The sequence below is a fragment of the Homo sapiens genome, chromosome 10, assembly GCF_000001405.40.
Source record: "Homo sapiens chromosome 10, GRCh38.p14 Primary Assembly".
Lineage (NCBI taxonomy): Eukaryota > Metazoa > Chordata > Mammalia > Primates > Hominidae > Homo > Homo sapiens.
In genome coordinates, this window is record NC_000010.11 from 2,572,424 (window position 1) to 2,589,659 (window position 17,236).

The 17,236-nt window shown below is 35.2% G+C and overlaps 1 long non-coding RNA gene across 4 annotated transcripts in view, besides 1 other annotated feature; it reads left to right on the forward strand.

Moving 5' to 3' along the window:
* Positions 1-17,236, forward strand: part of LOC105376350 (uncharacterized) — a 116,889-nt gene that overhangs the window by 70,571 nt on the left and 29,082 nt on the right. The gene's annotated exons all lie outside the window — the stretch shown is intronic.
* Positions 2,995-3,594: an enhancer, noted in NCBI's record as "OCT4-NANOG hESC enhancer chr10:2617610-2618209 (GRCh37/hg19 assembly coordinates)". NCBI's record gives its function as "activates a minimal SCP1, AML or CMV promoter by ChIP-STARR-seq in primed H9 embryonic stem cells {active_cell/tissue: H9 hESC(primed)}" and the evidence as "EXISTENCE:reporter gene assay evidence [ECO:0000049][PMID:30033119]".

Genomic DNA, 17,236 nt, shown 5'->3' on the forward strand with positions numbered 1-17,236 from the left:
CTATTAATATTTTGGATGAAATTAAATTACCATGATTATATTAAAAATGTTCCAATACTGATATATAAGAAGATCAATTTGTCAAAATTGTGAGTTAGCATGAAGTGTATTGTCCCAGGTATAGCTTGCCTTGATACAACTGGAAACAGTAGGAGGAATGTGGTTTCAACAAACTGTGTTTGCGTCCATTGCTGCATCACACATCACCACACACTTACCACTTAAAGCAGCAGCCACTTACTAAGCCTCAGAGTTCAGATACCCAGGGGCTCAACTGGGTTCCCTGCTCAGGATCTGACAAGGCAAAATCAGCCTGGTCAGCTGATCTAGCCTCACATGTGAGGGTTTTGACATTCTCAACATTTGTAACATTTCATTACGTGTGACAGATAGAGTCTTGAGTCAATTTGATTTCCACTTATGTCTGTATTTGAAGACATATCCTTACCAATTTTATCAATTTTCTTGCCATCTCATGATGGTTTCCAAATAAAATATTCATATCCTAAAGGGAATAGTGATAATATAGTTTTGCTTTAGAACAGCACCTACAGTGTACATTCCTGAACTGGTAAGTGTTTCATATATGGAGAACAAACTTTGATAAGAACTATAGTGGACTTTTCATCAGATATCATGCAAACAAAAATACAGTGATGTGAGATGTTTAAATAGTTAAGTATTGAAAGAAAATAAAACCTTCAAACTAGAATTTTATGTCCATTGAAATTACCCTTGAAAAATAAAACATGATTTTTTTTCGCAGAAAAACAAAACCTGAAGGAATCTATCACCAATAACCTCACTTAAATTAACTTTATCTAATTGACATTTATAGAATATTTCATCCACCAAAACATAATACACATCCTTCCAAGCTCACATGGAACATATACCAAGATAGATAGACCACGTTATGAGTCACAGCACTCAACTAAACAAATTTAAAATAATATAAAGCTTACAAAGTATATGCTCAAATCATAATAAAATTAACCTAGAGATCAGTAACAGAAATATAGACATAAAATATTTAAATATTAGGAAACTAAACAACACGCTACTAAGTAATACTTGGGTCATGAAAAATCTCAAGGTAAATTCTAGAAATATCCAGTCTACATAAAAATGAAATTACTACATATCGAAATTAGTGGAATACAGTTAAAGCACTGCTTAGAGGAAAATTTATGAAATTAAATGCACACATTTGAAGAGAAGAAAGGCCTAAAATCAAGAAACTAAACATCCACTCTATGGAACTAGAGAAAGAAGAGAACTGCAACTCTGAATTAAGCAGAAGAAAACAAATATACAAATTAGAGCAGAAATAAGACGGAAAAAAAGTATAATATTGAAAATCAATGAAAACAAAAGCTGATTCTTTGAAAAGATCAACAAAATTAATAAATCTCCAACCAGAATAATCAACAATAACAGAAAAAAAATCTCAGCTTCTCTGGATGTTGGAGTCTCCCCATGCCCAGCTGCTATGTGCTTATAATAAATAGTAGGTGTGCTAATGATTTTGGAAGGAACCCTTAGAACTGTGTATCAGCAGCCTCCCTGCCTTCCTAGAAAATGTGCAGGGATCGTAAGTCATTTTTTTCTTGGCTTGCCAGGTCACTGTGATGAACCGTAGGTTGTGTAGGGGGCATTTTGAAAGCGAGGAAGGAAAGGATGGTGGGCTTCTATAGTTTTATCCATTTGGGAGCACTGTGAGCCACACACCCTGTCTTCCCTGGCATTCCTGAGTCCCAGGCGCTCTGTGTCTCTGCAAGTAAACAATTTCTCTTTTTGCATCTTCTCCTCCTCCACATACTTGCAACCGGTGATGCTCAAATAAGGTCCACAGGTTCACAAACCGTGAGTTATTGCTCTAGGATGGGATGAGACCGGATATTCAGGGAAACAACTGAGAATTTTCTATAGCAATTTCACAGAGTAATTTTATGTCTATTGGATGTAATAGTAAAAATGCTGTTCCTGAGTTTTTATGTCATTTTATTTTTCCACTATTTCCATTTTATTATATTGTACAAAAGTATTGATCTGCAAGAGACTGTAAAGCAAAAATGAAATAAAACATACATTGAAACAAAACAAAAGTACTCTTTCTCCATGAATACTTTGAGAGGCGTGGCTTCAGTCTAGAATCCTTTACCAACATCTTCATCTACAGAAATTGGTTTACATCCTACATATGTTTGATGCTTACCTTCTTTTCCTTGTGTTAGGTTTATGTTTAAACATAGTTCAATCTGCCTTCCTGAACCAGCAATTCAATTATTATCTGTGTGTGTGTGTGTGTGTGGTGGTGGTGGTGGTTAGAATTTTAGAAACATTTCTTTTTATTCAGTGTGTCTAACAACAGTAGCATTTGTATAAATTTGTCATTAGAAAGAGCTTGGATTCCAGAAAACTGCAGCAAAGCATTCGGTATAAAGAAACAGTAAATAGGATTGCAGTGATGAGCTGCCAATTCTCTCTATGTTCTAGGACATAAGTCTGAGTGTCTGGAATCTGCAACAATGTTAAAGCCTGGCTCTTCACTGTGGTGCAGTAGCTGATACATCTTTTAATACTTCAGTTTTCCAGCTCCTGAATTTCTAGCTCCATTTCCCTTTCCCCATCACTTGTTAATGTAAGCATATCAAAACTCCCATCTTCTTGCTGAAAACTTCCATAATCATACTTGCACCAAAGATTCCAACAAATACAGGTGTATATCATTAGTTATTTTATGTAAGTATATTCTAGCTAGAATTTAAATATTTCAGGAGAGAGATGCTTGTGTATGTTTTTTTTTTCATATCTTGAATGGAGTGAATGTCTGAACATATTCACTCATTGAGCCAGAATAACAAGATTGAACATTCATTTAGCAGTGCAGTGACCTCAGTTCCATGAATTCTATCACTATAAATTGATGAGATCATTCTACTTCACAAAACTTTTTTTCTCATCCACAAAATGGAGGTATTGAAATATTAACTGGTACTACTAAAATTAAAATTCTCTTTTGCAACAAATTAAAAAATATTACACTAATCATATACTTTGTTTGTGGGAGTGGGAGAGGTAGTCTTGGTTCTTATTTTACTAATAATATATTTCACCTTATCAATGAATCAGTGAGCTGTAACTGCTAAGGTGCAAACCAGGCCACATGCTTCCGTGTGACCTTGGACAAACTTTATCTTTGCTTGCAAAGCAGAACTGCGGCCATGGTCAGGCTTTTGAAAGAAGGACAGCAGGAGGCAGAAGACATCGGAACTCGGCGTTCCTATTTCCATATCAATACCGAGGCTCTTTCAATGATAAGGAACTTCAAATTAATGCTGGGGTCAGGAATCTAAAATCCTATAGAAAGTTCTGCATAAATCTTATTTAACTCAATCAATATTACATAATATCAAAGTTTAAAAAGTTAGTTAATAGCTTTCTGAAATGTTCCCAACTGAATTTAGGGAGATAACGGGTGACAAAGGATGGGAGGTAGAGAGAGAGAGAGTCAGGAGGAGGAAGGGCCCCTTAGGGAGAACATAGCTTGTGATTCAAAATATTTCTTTTTAAATACAATTTAGGATGGAGAAAAAAATCTTTCTTATGTAAAAAATATATTTATATACATAGATATATTTGTCTGTATATGTATAATTAAGAGTTTGTATTTTAATTTTCTTAGAATAATAACCTATAAATTCAGATTAATTGAAGAAGAGAATAGAATCATTGAACATGTGAGTTAGATAATTTTTCAAAGATCTGTAATATTATCATATATGAAATTAAGACATGATAAAATAAAAGGTTTTCCTAATTCCTAATTTTTAGACAAGCTTTAATAAAGAGATAAGAATGATAAGTAATTAACACACCACTATTTTTACATAAATAGAGCTTTCTAAGTGCTTCTACAAACAGTTGTTTTCTTTATTTAGGTAAGTGTATTAATATAGTCTTGTTTATATCATTAATTCTCAGAGTAAAATCTTTATTCACACATGGAAAAACAGCAATAACCTCCGAGTTTGAATTTCTGAGTTAACTCTATATCGGAATTTAGAAATCAAAATTAATAAGAATTTATCACATTAACATTTGCTAATTACATCATGGATGCCCATCTTTCATTTAAAATATGCTTATGAGAATGTAATTGCAAAGAAATAATGATTTCTGGATCATAAAATGCCAGGCTAAGTTACCTGAAATCTTCCTGTAGCTTTTAAATACCCCCAGATAAAACATTTTTAATGTTCAGATGAACACAAAAGACAAAGGAAGAAATCCCTAATGTTTCATAAGTAAAGGTGAAATGCTGCAGATGCTCTGAGAGGGAAAGTTACCTGGATGGACAGGGTAGATGGCTGGGAATATAAATTCAAGGGCTGGTGTTTTATTGTCTGAGGGACAAGAACAGAGCCCTGGGGCCAGAGGGAGAACTATGCTTGGCACAGAAGAGCCACTCCATATATATTGATATTCCTGAAGATGTGGTGGTGGGATTGGAACTGAAGCCCAAGACCCTATGAGGTAGGAGGCAGGACTTGACTCTGGAGGTGGGGCTGGGACACTGGACCAAATTGAGGACTAGCTAGAACAGGTCCCAGATGAAGCAGCTTTCTGTAAAACACACCACCAGGGTGCCATGTCAGTTTACCATTGCCATGGCAACACCGGAAAGTTATCACCCGCTTCCATGGACACAACTCTGCTACTAGGGTCCTAGACATTTCTCATAGCCCGCCCTTTGATTTGAGTATAGGTAAAAGTGGGCATAAATATGAGTGCAGACCCACCTCTGAGCTGCTCTCTGGACAAACTGCCTGTGGGGCAGCCCTGCTCTGCCAGGAGTGGGACCTCCGCTGAGGCTGAGCACAGCCGCATCAGTCAAAGCTCCTGTTGAACACCATTGCCTCGCCTTTTAATTCTTTTTGGGGCTAAGCCAAGAACACTCAGGACTAAGCCTCAATCTGAGGGCTGGGCTGTCCTGCAGTACCTGTATTAACCCAGGACTATAGAAGGCTATACTTTCAGCAAAATGGTGACAGGGAAAAACGCATCTCCATATCAGTACAGGAGTCCAACAAGAAAGTGTGTCTGACTGCCTAGGCTCTGAGAGAAAATAAATAAAAAAATAGTAAACTGCTTTTAAGAAAATCACAGTCTTGAACTTCCCTCAAGGGGAGAATTCTAAATATGTATCGTTGTGAGGCAAGACTCCTATTAATATAAAAAATTAGCAGTGGGCAATGCACCTAACAAAACAGATGCAAAATGCAAAACCTGCCTGGGTTCTCATAACCCGCCCTTTGATTTGCATATAGGTAAATTCTAAATTCTAAATAGGTAAATTACCTAAATTCCCATGGGATTTACATGGAAAAAACACCTAACTCGGTGAAGAGGAACCCTATGAAAACAACTATAAAGTGCAAAACAGAGGGTAAAAGTCATCCTGTAACGACAATTCTAAACAGTGCTAAAGCGTTTCATGAGAGTGGCCTGGGCGTCCTCCCACCACAGCCGCTGTGCGCAGCGGAGCAGAGGGAAGGAGAACCCGGGCAGAGCTGCACACCTGCTGCGGGAGGGGCTGCGTCTCGCACTTCTTCTGTCCGGGGAGGCGCCTTGCTCTGACCTTCCTCCTCAAAACACGGGCGCGGTGGCTCACGCCTGTAATCCCAGCCCTTTGGGAGGCCGAGGTGGGTGGATCACGAGGTCAGGAGATCGAGACCATCCTGGCGAACACGGTGAAACCCCGTCTCTACTGAAAATACAAACAATTAGCCGGGCGTGGTGGCGGGAGCCTGTAGTCCCAGCTCCTCGGGAGGCTGAGGAAGGAAAATGGCCGAACCCGGGAGGCGGAGCTTGCAGTGAGCCGAGATCGCGCCACTGCAGTCCGGCCTGGGCAAAATAGCGAGACTCCGCCTCAAAAACAAAACAAAACAAAAAAACACGCAAGTGGAATTCCAGAAAAGTCACCACGTCTGCACAATGAGAAGTCCAGGGTCTCCTGCCATTGTCAACATCTGCTGGCCTCTCAGTTTCGCTGACTCGCCCCTGGTGCCGGTGTGAGCAGACAGGCTCCAGAGCTGGAGCAAGATGTCCATGGGACAGTCACGGAGTGACCTGGGCTGTTTCCACATGACCAAGCAGAGATTTCCCATGAACCAGGAGACCTGAACCACGTTGCTGGAACCAGCATGTAACGAAGGAGCCTGTAGTGAGTGAGCTTCCAACCACAGAGGGGAGGCTGGAGCTGAGAGGAACTGGGAGCCATGGCGCCCCCAGCAGACCCACCAGTTACGGAATTGTGCAGTGAGAGGCTCCTGAGTGGGCCTGCAGAACTCACCCGTGACCTCCTGAGGGCCACAAGGACGTGCCACTGATGGAGAGACTCAACAGGATTAGGTGCGGGAGAGATTCAACAGGATTAGGTGCGGTAGAGACGCGTGTCACTGTCCACTCCGCTGCTCTCCATCTCAGCACACCCAGAAGGTAAGCCAGAGAAAACAGCAGCAGAAATGAAAGAGCATGCTACCTATAAAATACATACAACTCTTTTAGGTGGTAATACAACAAAATACCTCTTAAAAATGACTGTGTATGTCAATATAAAAAGAATTCCTAAGAAAAGAACAGAACATTTGGGAAAACGATGAATTTCAAAATAACAAAACAGAGTTTCTAGAAATAAGTAGTAATCAGTGCTGAGTTTGAAAACTCATTGAATGCCAGTGTTCAGGGCAGATCGTAGAAACTAAGATTTTAAACACAAAGGAATTGAATATTGGAAATTAGATGCTTAGGAATGGGCAGGATAACTGCAGGATGAGAAGGAGAGAACACTGATCACTTCATTCATTCATCCCAAGCTCACTGCATTTGGAATTACTGAGATGTAGGCATGAAACATGATGTGTTTGCTGTACCACGGTCCCTGGTAATTAAACTACTGCTACAATCACGGTGATCTTTCTATTTTAAAAGCTGGTAACTAGACATAGGAAATTAATCCAGACAGAATATAATAATTGTACTTAGACCTCCAAACTTCCTTCCATTTGGAACAAAAGTTGGTGCCCTGCACTTCACTTCTGCTTGCTAAATCTTACATCATAATTTCACCCCGGTACAACTTAAATCTAGAAGTCTGATTGCAAAATAATACTGGTAATATGGAATTGAGCTTTCCACTACTCTGGGGAAAATTACACATTTAAAGTTATGGTCTATTGACTCAAATATGAAAAACCAAAATGGGATCATGTATCTACAGTAGAGCTTAAAGAGAACTTAATAAGAAATTTATAGTAGATTCATAATCATTAACTATGGGCTTTTTAAAAAGAATTTTTTCTTTACTTTGCTATTCTTTTCTTTTCTTTCTCATTCTTTTCTTTCCATTTTCAAAGTCAATAAAAGGACCAAGAGAAAATTTCCCATGAAAAATACATGTTTTTATTCTTTAGTTCAATTCTGCTCCTAAAATGTATAAAAGCCAATAGGATTCAGGAAGAAGAGAGGAAACACAATGAGTTCTGATTGTTTAACAAGAAGTTATTCTAGCAAAGAAGATAAGAAGAAGAAACTTCAAGTCACCAATGAGGGTAAATCTCCCAAATCACTGGAGAGCTCAGGTTTTAGAAGAATAAGTCAGAAAAGTGAACAAGGAGGTTACTCAATCAAGGGCAGTTTCAGAGAGTGGTGCAAACCTGTAAGGTGTGTCAGAAAGACTAATGAATTACATCAAATTAAAACCCAGAAAGAGCTGATGCTTGCAAAAAGCATTGATAATGACCCAAGTGTGATTTTTAAAAAGGAACTAAAGCTTTTAAAGAGACAATAAAAAGAAAAAGACAGGAAAAAGTGATTCCATTTATTGGGTTTTATATAACTTAACTGAATGGGCAAAATTGCTTAATAGAATATGAAGTTTATGTATCTTTTTCTACAACCAATATTCTTTTAGTTACCCAAACAATAAAACAATATTGTAGGTGTGACATGGATTTGAGTTCATGATGTCATGCTCTAAGCTTTATATGACCTGAATCAAGCTGGTTAACTTCTCTACCTCACCTTTATAGATAGATGATAGATAGATAGATAGATAGATAGATAGATAGATAGATAGATAGATGATAGATAGATAGCTGGTTTTTTTTCATGGTTATTCCAAGAGGTTGTTGTAAAAAAATGAAATATTGGTAAAAATAAACAACGTATGATTATCAATACTATCCTGCTCTCATCTTTATGTAGAAGAATGTTCTTTAGGTTTTTCACAGTAGACCTTACATTATTATTGTTTTTTATTAATTTTTTTTTGAGACGGAGTTTTGCTCTTGTTGCCCAGGCTGGAGTGCAGTGGTATGATCTTGGCTCACCACAACCTCTGCCTCCAGGGTTCAAGTGATTCTCCTGCTTCAGCCTCCCAAGTAGCTGGGATTACAGGCACCCGCCACCACACTTGGCTAATTTTTGCATTTTTTAGTAGAGACGGGGTTTCCCCATGATGGTCAGGCTGGTCTCAAACTCCCAACCTCAGGTGATTCGCTCGCCTCGGCCTCCCAAGATGCTGGGACCACAGGGGTGAGCCACCGCGCCCGGCCAGACCTTACGTTATTAAAGGGATACTGAATTCCAGCTTAGATGAAGAGATAGAGAAAAAGTAATAATTTAAATTAATGTAGATTTAATATATTCTTATAACACTAAAAAGATACAGATAATACTAGAGAAATAATTTTAATGATCAATTTAAAATCGTGTAAAATGGAAAACAAAAATATATATATTCTGATTTTCAAAGGGCAGAAGTAGAGTTGACCACATGAACTCTAAATGATGAGAATGATCATTTAGAACTTTAAATTAACTTTGATCAGAATATTTCTGAAACTATATTAAGAGGCATGGGGAAAAAGCAACAAATAATCATTACTGTATCGCAGGAAAATAATCACCCTATCCTAAAGTCACCTTACTTTTTAGTAGAATGTCTAGACTGAAGTACAAGAAAATTCTGTAGACATTGAGTACATAATTTGTTTTCTGTATAAAAATGTATTGTACATTTATAGGCAACTGGGGAAAAATGTGCCTATATTTAAGCGAAGTATTCTATGTTAGAACACAGTTGGCCAGAATTTCAGTGAATAAAACATTTTTAAGTGGAGTATAGGTTTCCATGGGGAGGGCTACAGTGAAGTCTTTGATCCAAGCCTGCTCTGCGTTCAGACAACCTTGATAACATTATTGTAAGATTGGTTTTTAGATCAAATATGAGAGTTATAAGAAGTATGTTAAATATTTTGAATACTGTATTATCTTAATAATTTTAAGTATGCTGATTAAAAGCATAAAAGATATCTGTATGGGGAGAAATTTGGGATTCATTTCCCATACTGAAAATAATTATCACTTAAATTGAGAGCAAAATGATAAAGATGCTTAAATAACTCAGACCTTCTCTGAGAATATTACTAAAGGAAAGGCTGTAGCAAGAAGCACTGTGTGAGGTTCAATAAGTAATGACAAGAATAAAAGTCTAGTTTATTATCACAACATGTAAGTAATTATTTATTATTTGATAAGTGATTGTTGGAAAATATATATTTATAGCAATATTGTCTCATGAAGAAAGAACATTTTTGTAAAAGACTTAGAACATTTAAAGAAGCAAAGGTAGTAGAAATTTGTTAGTTTTTGGCCATGAAACATGGATACCAGATTCCGAAAACAATCTAAGTTTAGGAAGGTTAAAAACAAAGCTGAGTACCTGGAGATACATGCCACCTTCAATGGAAGATTCAATTTTGTAAAATATCCATTTTCTTGATTTTTTAAAATCCAAAATATTTCCTCATTTACTCCCAATCAAGCCCTTATCATTAAGGGACTTGACAAGCTGCTTCTAAAATTAATATAGAGGAATAAATGTGCACAGACACCATAATATACAACAAATATAACAAATAGTTGAGATTCATCCTAACAGATATCACAGTACAGTATAAGAAAAATTTTTTTTAATTAAAGGGGGTAGTATTTGTTTGGAACAGACAAATAGATCAGCAGATCTATTTAGAACATGAAAATGTGTTTTCCCTTCTTGGTATCAGTAAGACTTTAGTAAATCTCCAGTCTGCTAAACTCTAATAAAATAATTTCCCTTCATGAAAATTTAGTATTTAGTATGCCTTAGAAATTTTTAAAAGCTGAATAAGTTGTACTTGGTAACAAGAACTGAGGTAAACAGGCCTTTAGCACAAGGTTTTGTGTTAATCTGACTAGGGGTGAGGCTGTGCTTACTTCTTGCCATAGCTGTATGTGTTAGAGGCTAAAATTCCCTATGATATCCTTGTTTATGGCTCCTCCGTTGCCTTTGGGTATCCCTAGAGACTTCTTCTTAAATAATGTCTGAGACATGCCGTTTTGTCAGTCATGTTCTCCTACTATTTTAGAGAGCCTTGCTGAAGTGGAGGTGAGGAGTTAGGAGGGAGACACATTTCACATTTAATGTTTACTCAGCTTTAACAAATTTCTAAGGCATACTAAAAGACAAACACACACACACGACCATAAGTTGAAGAGACACAGTAAACCTCAAAAGAAGACTGAGACATGATATGTTAGAATTCCTGGTCAGACCAGGAATCACAGTGCTTGTTACTTACCCAAAGGAGCTGAAGACTTATGTGTACACCAAAACATGCATTCAAATGTTTACAACAGCTTTATTAATAATTGTTCAAATTTGGAAGCAACCAAGATGCCATTCAGTAGGTGAATGGATAAACAAACTGTAGGGTTTTGTAATACTAAAAATAATATTACAGTGGAATATTATTCAGCAAAAAAGAAATAAGCTATCAAGCCATGAAAAGACATGGAAGAACCTTAAATATACCTTATATAAATAAAATATATATTAAATAAATTTATATATTAAATAAATATATAGATATATATTATATAAATTTATATATTAAATAATATATAAATATATATTATATAAATTTGTGTATTCAGTAAATATATAAATATATATTATATAAATTTGTATATTAAGTAAATATATAAATATATAATATAAATTTGTATATTAAGTAAATATATAAATATATATTATATAAATTTGTATATTAAATACATATATAAATATATATTACATACATTTGTATATTAAATACATATATAAATATATATTATATACATTTGTATATTAAATAAATACATAAATATATATTATATACATTTGTATATTAAATAAATACATAAATATATATTATATACATTTGTATATTAAACAAATACATACATATATATTATATACATTTGTGTATTAAACAAATACATAAATATATATTATATACATTTGTATATTAAACAAATACATAAATATATATTATATACATTTGTATATTAAACAAATACATAAATATATATTATATACATTTGTATATTAAACAAATACATAAATATATATTATATACATTTGTATATTAAACAAATACATAAATATATATTATATAAATTTGTATATTAAACAAATATATAAATATATATTATATACATTTGTATATTAAACAAATATATAAATATATATTATATACATTTGTATATTAAACAAATATATAAATATATATTATATACATTTGTATATTAAACAAATATATAAATATATATATACATTTGTATATTAAACAAATATATAAATATATATATATACATTTGTATATTAAACAAATATATAAATATATATTATATAAATTTGTATATTAAATAAATATATATTATAAATTTGTATATTACATAAATATATATTATATAAATTTATATATTACATAAATATATATTATATAAATTTATATATTAAATAAATATATAATATAAATTTATATATTAAATAAATATATAAATATATATACATGTACATTACTAAGTGGAAGAAGTGTATCTGAAAAGGCATACAGTCAATTTCCAACAATATGACATTCTGGAAAATGAAAAACTATAGAGGTAGTAAAAAGAATAGAGGTTGTCAGGAAAGTTGGGGAAGGGCAAAGAATGGATAAACAGAGCACAGTGGATTTTTAGGATTGTGAAACTATTCTGTACAATACTGAGAACATGTCAGTACATACTTGTCAAAACCTATAGAGTGTACAGCACATAAGTGAACGCTAATGTACAATATGGACTTTACTACAATGTGTCAACACTGGCTCATCAATGGTAACAAATGCACTGCATTGAAGATGTGATGAATAGGGGAACCTGTGTGAAGATGAGGTGGGGAGGTTAAGGAGTAGGTGGGAACTCGATATTTTCTGCTCAATTGTTTTGTAAATCTCAGACATCTCTAAAAATTAGTCTATTAGTTAAAGCAAATCCAAAAAGCAAAACAACACACAAGCCAGTGTATGATTCTTAATTTTAAAGAGGTAATTTCCATAAATTCTCTGGGAGGTCATCTTTATGTGATACCCTGTACAAGATGGGTAGAGAATACCCAACCAGAAGAAGCAATGAGAAGGAACAGGAGTCCATGTCAGTGTACGTGGGGGCACAATGGGGAATGGAGGGCACATAGGACATTGTCTGCTGTTTTTCTCAAGGAAAATGCATTGGCATATGTGTTCTTTGTGTAATAAGCATTTCAACTGACAATAGAAAAACTAAAATGAAATCCATAATTTAGACAGAAACTAAAAACACTACACATGTAGAGTCAGGGAAGACTCAGTCAAACAGCAATTTATGTGCCAGAGTTTTCTAGAAGTTTTGATACGAACAATAAATCATATTGTAAGCTCATAGCATGTAAAAAAATCAAAAGATGATGCAACCTCAGAGATGCATTCATAAAATTCCGATGTCCAAATCAAGAGGACTGCCTGATGCTAGGCATTCAATATTTCTCCAATAGTGGATGATTGGTTAGCTTGTCTGATGTGGAAACGTTTGCATCCAGCTAACCTTGATTGAACACTTCCTCCATGCCAAACACAGTTCTGAGTCTTTTGTGTGCATCTCCCTACACCAGGAGCCATATATTCTAGCAGTGGAATGCTTATGGAGGTTTATTCGTTGTCAAATAACAAGTAGAAGAGAGTCAGAGAAACTGCTGCTACCATCTGTCTCCCCGTCCAAGGGCCAATGCTTGTTTTCTTTGTTACTATTACCATTATTGTGGCTTTTAAAAAACAAATTCTAACAAGTAAATTACTCATCGGTTACTAAAACTACTGTAAATTAGTTTATTAATATTCGTAGACAAGTGGAAAATTGCAGAAGAAATGGCCAACATGCACATTTAGGGGTAGGAGTCATATCATCCCCTGAGAAGGAGTGAGAATTAAACTAGGAATGTGGTGCCTTCTCTCCTTGTTCTATTCCCTTTTGTGGAATAGATTCTTGCTATCTCAGATTGCTTCTCTTTTTCCACAGTCCACCTAGAAGGTTTCTTATCTTCATCAGCAAGAAAGGAATATGGGATTTCTAGTTAAACACACCATGGTTGGAATCCCAGATATACCACTTAGTAGCTACACAGTAAAGCATTGGACTTACTCATCCTAAGTCTCACAACCTTTATTTCTAAGGGGGACTTAATGATGTGTGACTTAGGTGATCATTTTGAAGAGACATTGGGAATGCTTGGCGTATTATATATACTCTATATGTATCAGCTTTTATAAGTTATAATCAGTATTATTAATAATTCTATATCCATGTATGGATTTTTCTACCTACATATAGATGCTTAGCCAAATGCTTTAGTAAGTTACTACTCAGAATTCTCCCATTCAAAAGAAAAGGAGCTCCTTTAGATACTTCTATTCTAATTATCTTGTCATTACTTATGTCGACGTGAAATGGCTATATGATTCTGTTTTATAAAAGTTTATCAGGGATGCTAAAGTCCCAAGTCTGAACTATCCTGATTTCCATCTAAAATTGATTTTACATATATTATATGTGTATATGTATGTGTGTATATGTGTGTATATACACGTCTATGCAAAACTTAAAAGGCTACATTCTTTAAAGTCTGTGGAAGAAATAAAATGAAGTAAAAGACATCCATAATAACATTAAGTTGAGTGTTCTTTTATCTTTGATGGTCAATAAGCAAGCTAGAAAATGACTTAGAAATTTTGCAAGCCACACAATTTTGGCATTGAAGAGAATCGTTCCATTATGTACTCTTGATGCTATTTATGGAGTCAGTCACCTCAGTCACACTATGACACACACATGAAATGCAAAGCTGATGGGGGTAGTGAAATATGCTTTTTCCTATGAAGGTTCCTATAAAAGAAGAGAATCAAGCTCATGATAGATGCAGAGAAATCCAGCAATTTCCTTCAGAAACAATCCCACTTCAACTTGCCTACATTTTTGTAGACAAATTCCATTACAATTGACCAGAACAAAATGATTTTTTAAACCACACAATAGCATGTTCTTAAGTAAAAACTCTCATGGCAAGTTTAAAAGAAAGTGAAAAGTTTGTTTATATGGCTTTTTTAAAAGAATAGATGGCCTATGGGTACCAAATTATGTTCCAGAAGACTCAAGTGGACCATGATGGAGGAGCCCACATGTTGAAAATGTTTCCCACATTAGTAAACACTTCATCATAAAAACCAAACTGTCTCAATTTAATATGATAAATAAGCTTTTATTAAATGAAAAATAAGAGACATCCAAAATACACAAAAACTATTCTGGATAAATTGTTTTCCTGAAGAACAGCCCCAGCTTTGGTCGCTTCTATTTTATTTATTTTTATTTTTATTTATTTATTTTTTTTTGAGATGGAGTGCCGCTCTTTTGCCCAAGCTGGAGTGCAGTGGCATGAGCTCGGCTCACTGCAACCTGCCTCCTGGGTTCAAGTGATTCTCCTGTCTCAGCCTCCTGAGTAGCTGGGATTACAGGTGCATGCCACCACACCCAGCTAATTTTTTTATTTTTAGTAGAGACAGGGTTTCACCATGTTAGCCAGGCTGGTCTCAAACTCCTGACCTCAAGTGATCCACCCACCTCAGCCTCCCAAAGTGCTGGGATTACAGGCGTCAGCCACTGTGCCAGGCCTGGTCACTTCTTTCCTTTTGTCTAGGACTATTCTCATGTTTATTTCTCCTCTTCTGTTTTTTCTCCTTGCATGATTTTTCTGGGCTGTAATCCATAAGGATAATTTAATTCTCCTTAGACCCATCAGGGTTTAAATACCTGGAACCATCCCTACATTATGGACACTTCACCATTAAAAATACAAGATAAACCTTTGTTATTTACTTTCCTGAACAAACTACACTTTACAAAGCCAAAAAAAACCCACAACTCTTTGTAAATAAAAGATTATGTAACTTATAGTTAGCTTCATTTTTTTATAGCACAAAATTTCCTCCATAGAGGAGTAGCTAGAACCCAGCAATCTCTCTGTGGGTGAGATCATCATAATCAATACTAGCAGGATTATTGTCATATTTAAGTGATGCTTGATTATTTCTTAGAATTTCACTTGTATGTTCCCTTGTGTTTTCAAAACTTAATTTGAAATAAAATGTCTTAAAATACATAATTTCTTTAAAGATTTTGACCTAAGTCAAGACCTTGGTGTAAATTCACACAGTATATTTGGAATATTATAATTGTTGATCTCCCTGCCTCTATTTAATACTTTATATTTTCTGCTTTCTTGGATATCAAATTCATATTAAAACTCTTAGTCTTGCAGTGTTCATATTCTGCATAGAATGTAGAGAATGATGGCCATGATTTGAAGTCTTAGAAGAAATGAATAGCTTTCTCTCTTGATTAAAAACTGAAGAAAAGCACAGACAATAAGCTGCAAGTATTGTTTCTGATGTTGTTGTAGTTGTTGTTGTTTTGAGCCAGTCTCACTCTGTCGCCCAGGCTGGAGTGCAGTGGCACCGTGTCAGCTCGCTGCAACCTCTGTCTCCTTGGTTCAAGCAACTCTCCTGCCTCAGCCTCAGGAATAGCCGGGATTACAGGAGCCCACCACCATGCCTGGCTAATTTTTTAATATTTTTAGTAGAGATGAGGTTTCACCATGTTGGCCAGGCTGGTCTCAAACTCCTGACCTCAGGTGATTCGCCTGCCTCAGCCTCCCAAAGTGCTGGGATTACAGGCGTGAGCCACTGCGCCTGGTCCTTTTTAATTCTTTACATACTGTTTGTGTGAACAGTGTTGGCAATATGTAAATACACAACAAGAGAAGAGAAAATAATTTCAAATCTGGGTCCCACCCTGCGATGTGTGTGTATTTGTGGGGAGGGAAGAGGAGAATGGAAGAAGATGGAAAAACTTGCTCTTGGAAGCCCTTTTTCTTTCAAGTAATTCCTATGAAGACATCTTTTTCCCATAGGCAAACGCTTCATTTTGTGAAGTTATTTGCATAACCTTGTGCAAAAAGTTAATTCCAAGGACTAAATTCCTACAGTTATGTTCTGCCAAGTATATTCTCTGTTGCTTCTGGTGAATTTTAAAGGAGAAACCACATTTTTGTAACATTATCAAATTCATTGGTCAATAGTTAAGACCCTGTGATGAACAGTTAAAACTATTGACAAATAAACAGGGTGTCTCCCAAAGTCATTGTCTAGAAGTAGCTGGTTTCCTAAGGCTGTTGTGGGAATTCCTTGATTAATTGGGGCAACTGACAGATAATCTCTTGGGGTCTTTCCAGTGAAAGTCCTGGGGATTCTAAATTTTTTTTATGAACATAATTTTGGGAGAGTTTTCATTTTGCAAGAAAAGTCATTCTGTATGAACAGTGAGCTCAGTGGATTCACGACCAAATTGGATTGTCTGATAATCACCAAAGCCCAGAAGCTTTACACCCACAGACAGTGTTTGTGGAGGTGGATACGCTTTACCTGGAATAGCACATCAGTGATTGCATGGAAGTCAGGAGCAAGATCGTGAAATGAACCGATGCACAACATTCTTCCAACCCAGAAAACATTTCTAAGTGAGGAAACACGGTAAAAATAGTAAAAGAAGAACAGATGGTTCTGTTAAAATAACCATATTGAGTCAGTTTCATTTCCATTATCCATTTAGATTTTAAAGTAACCTGGGGTTTTGTGATGTATGTAATAAATTTTTTTCAAATAAATAAATTTAACTTGAAGTTATTTTGCCTTGTATGAAATATAATAAATATTTTATAAAAGGTATAAATGTATGA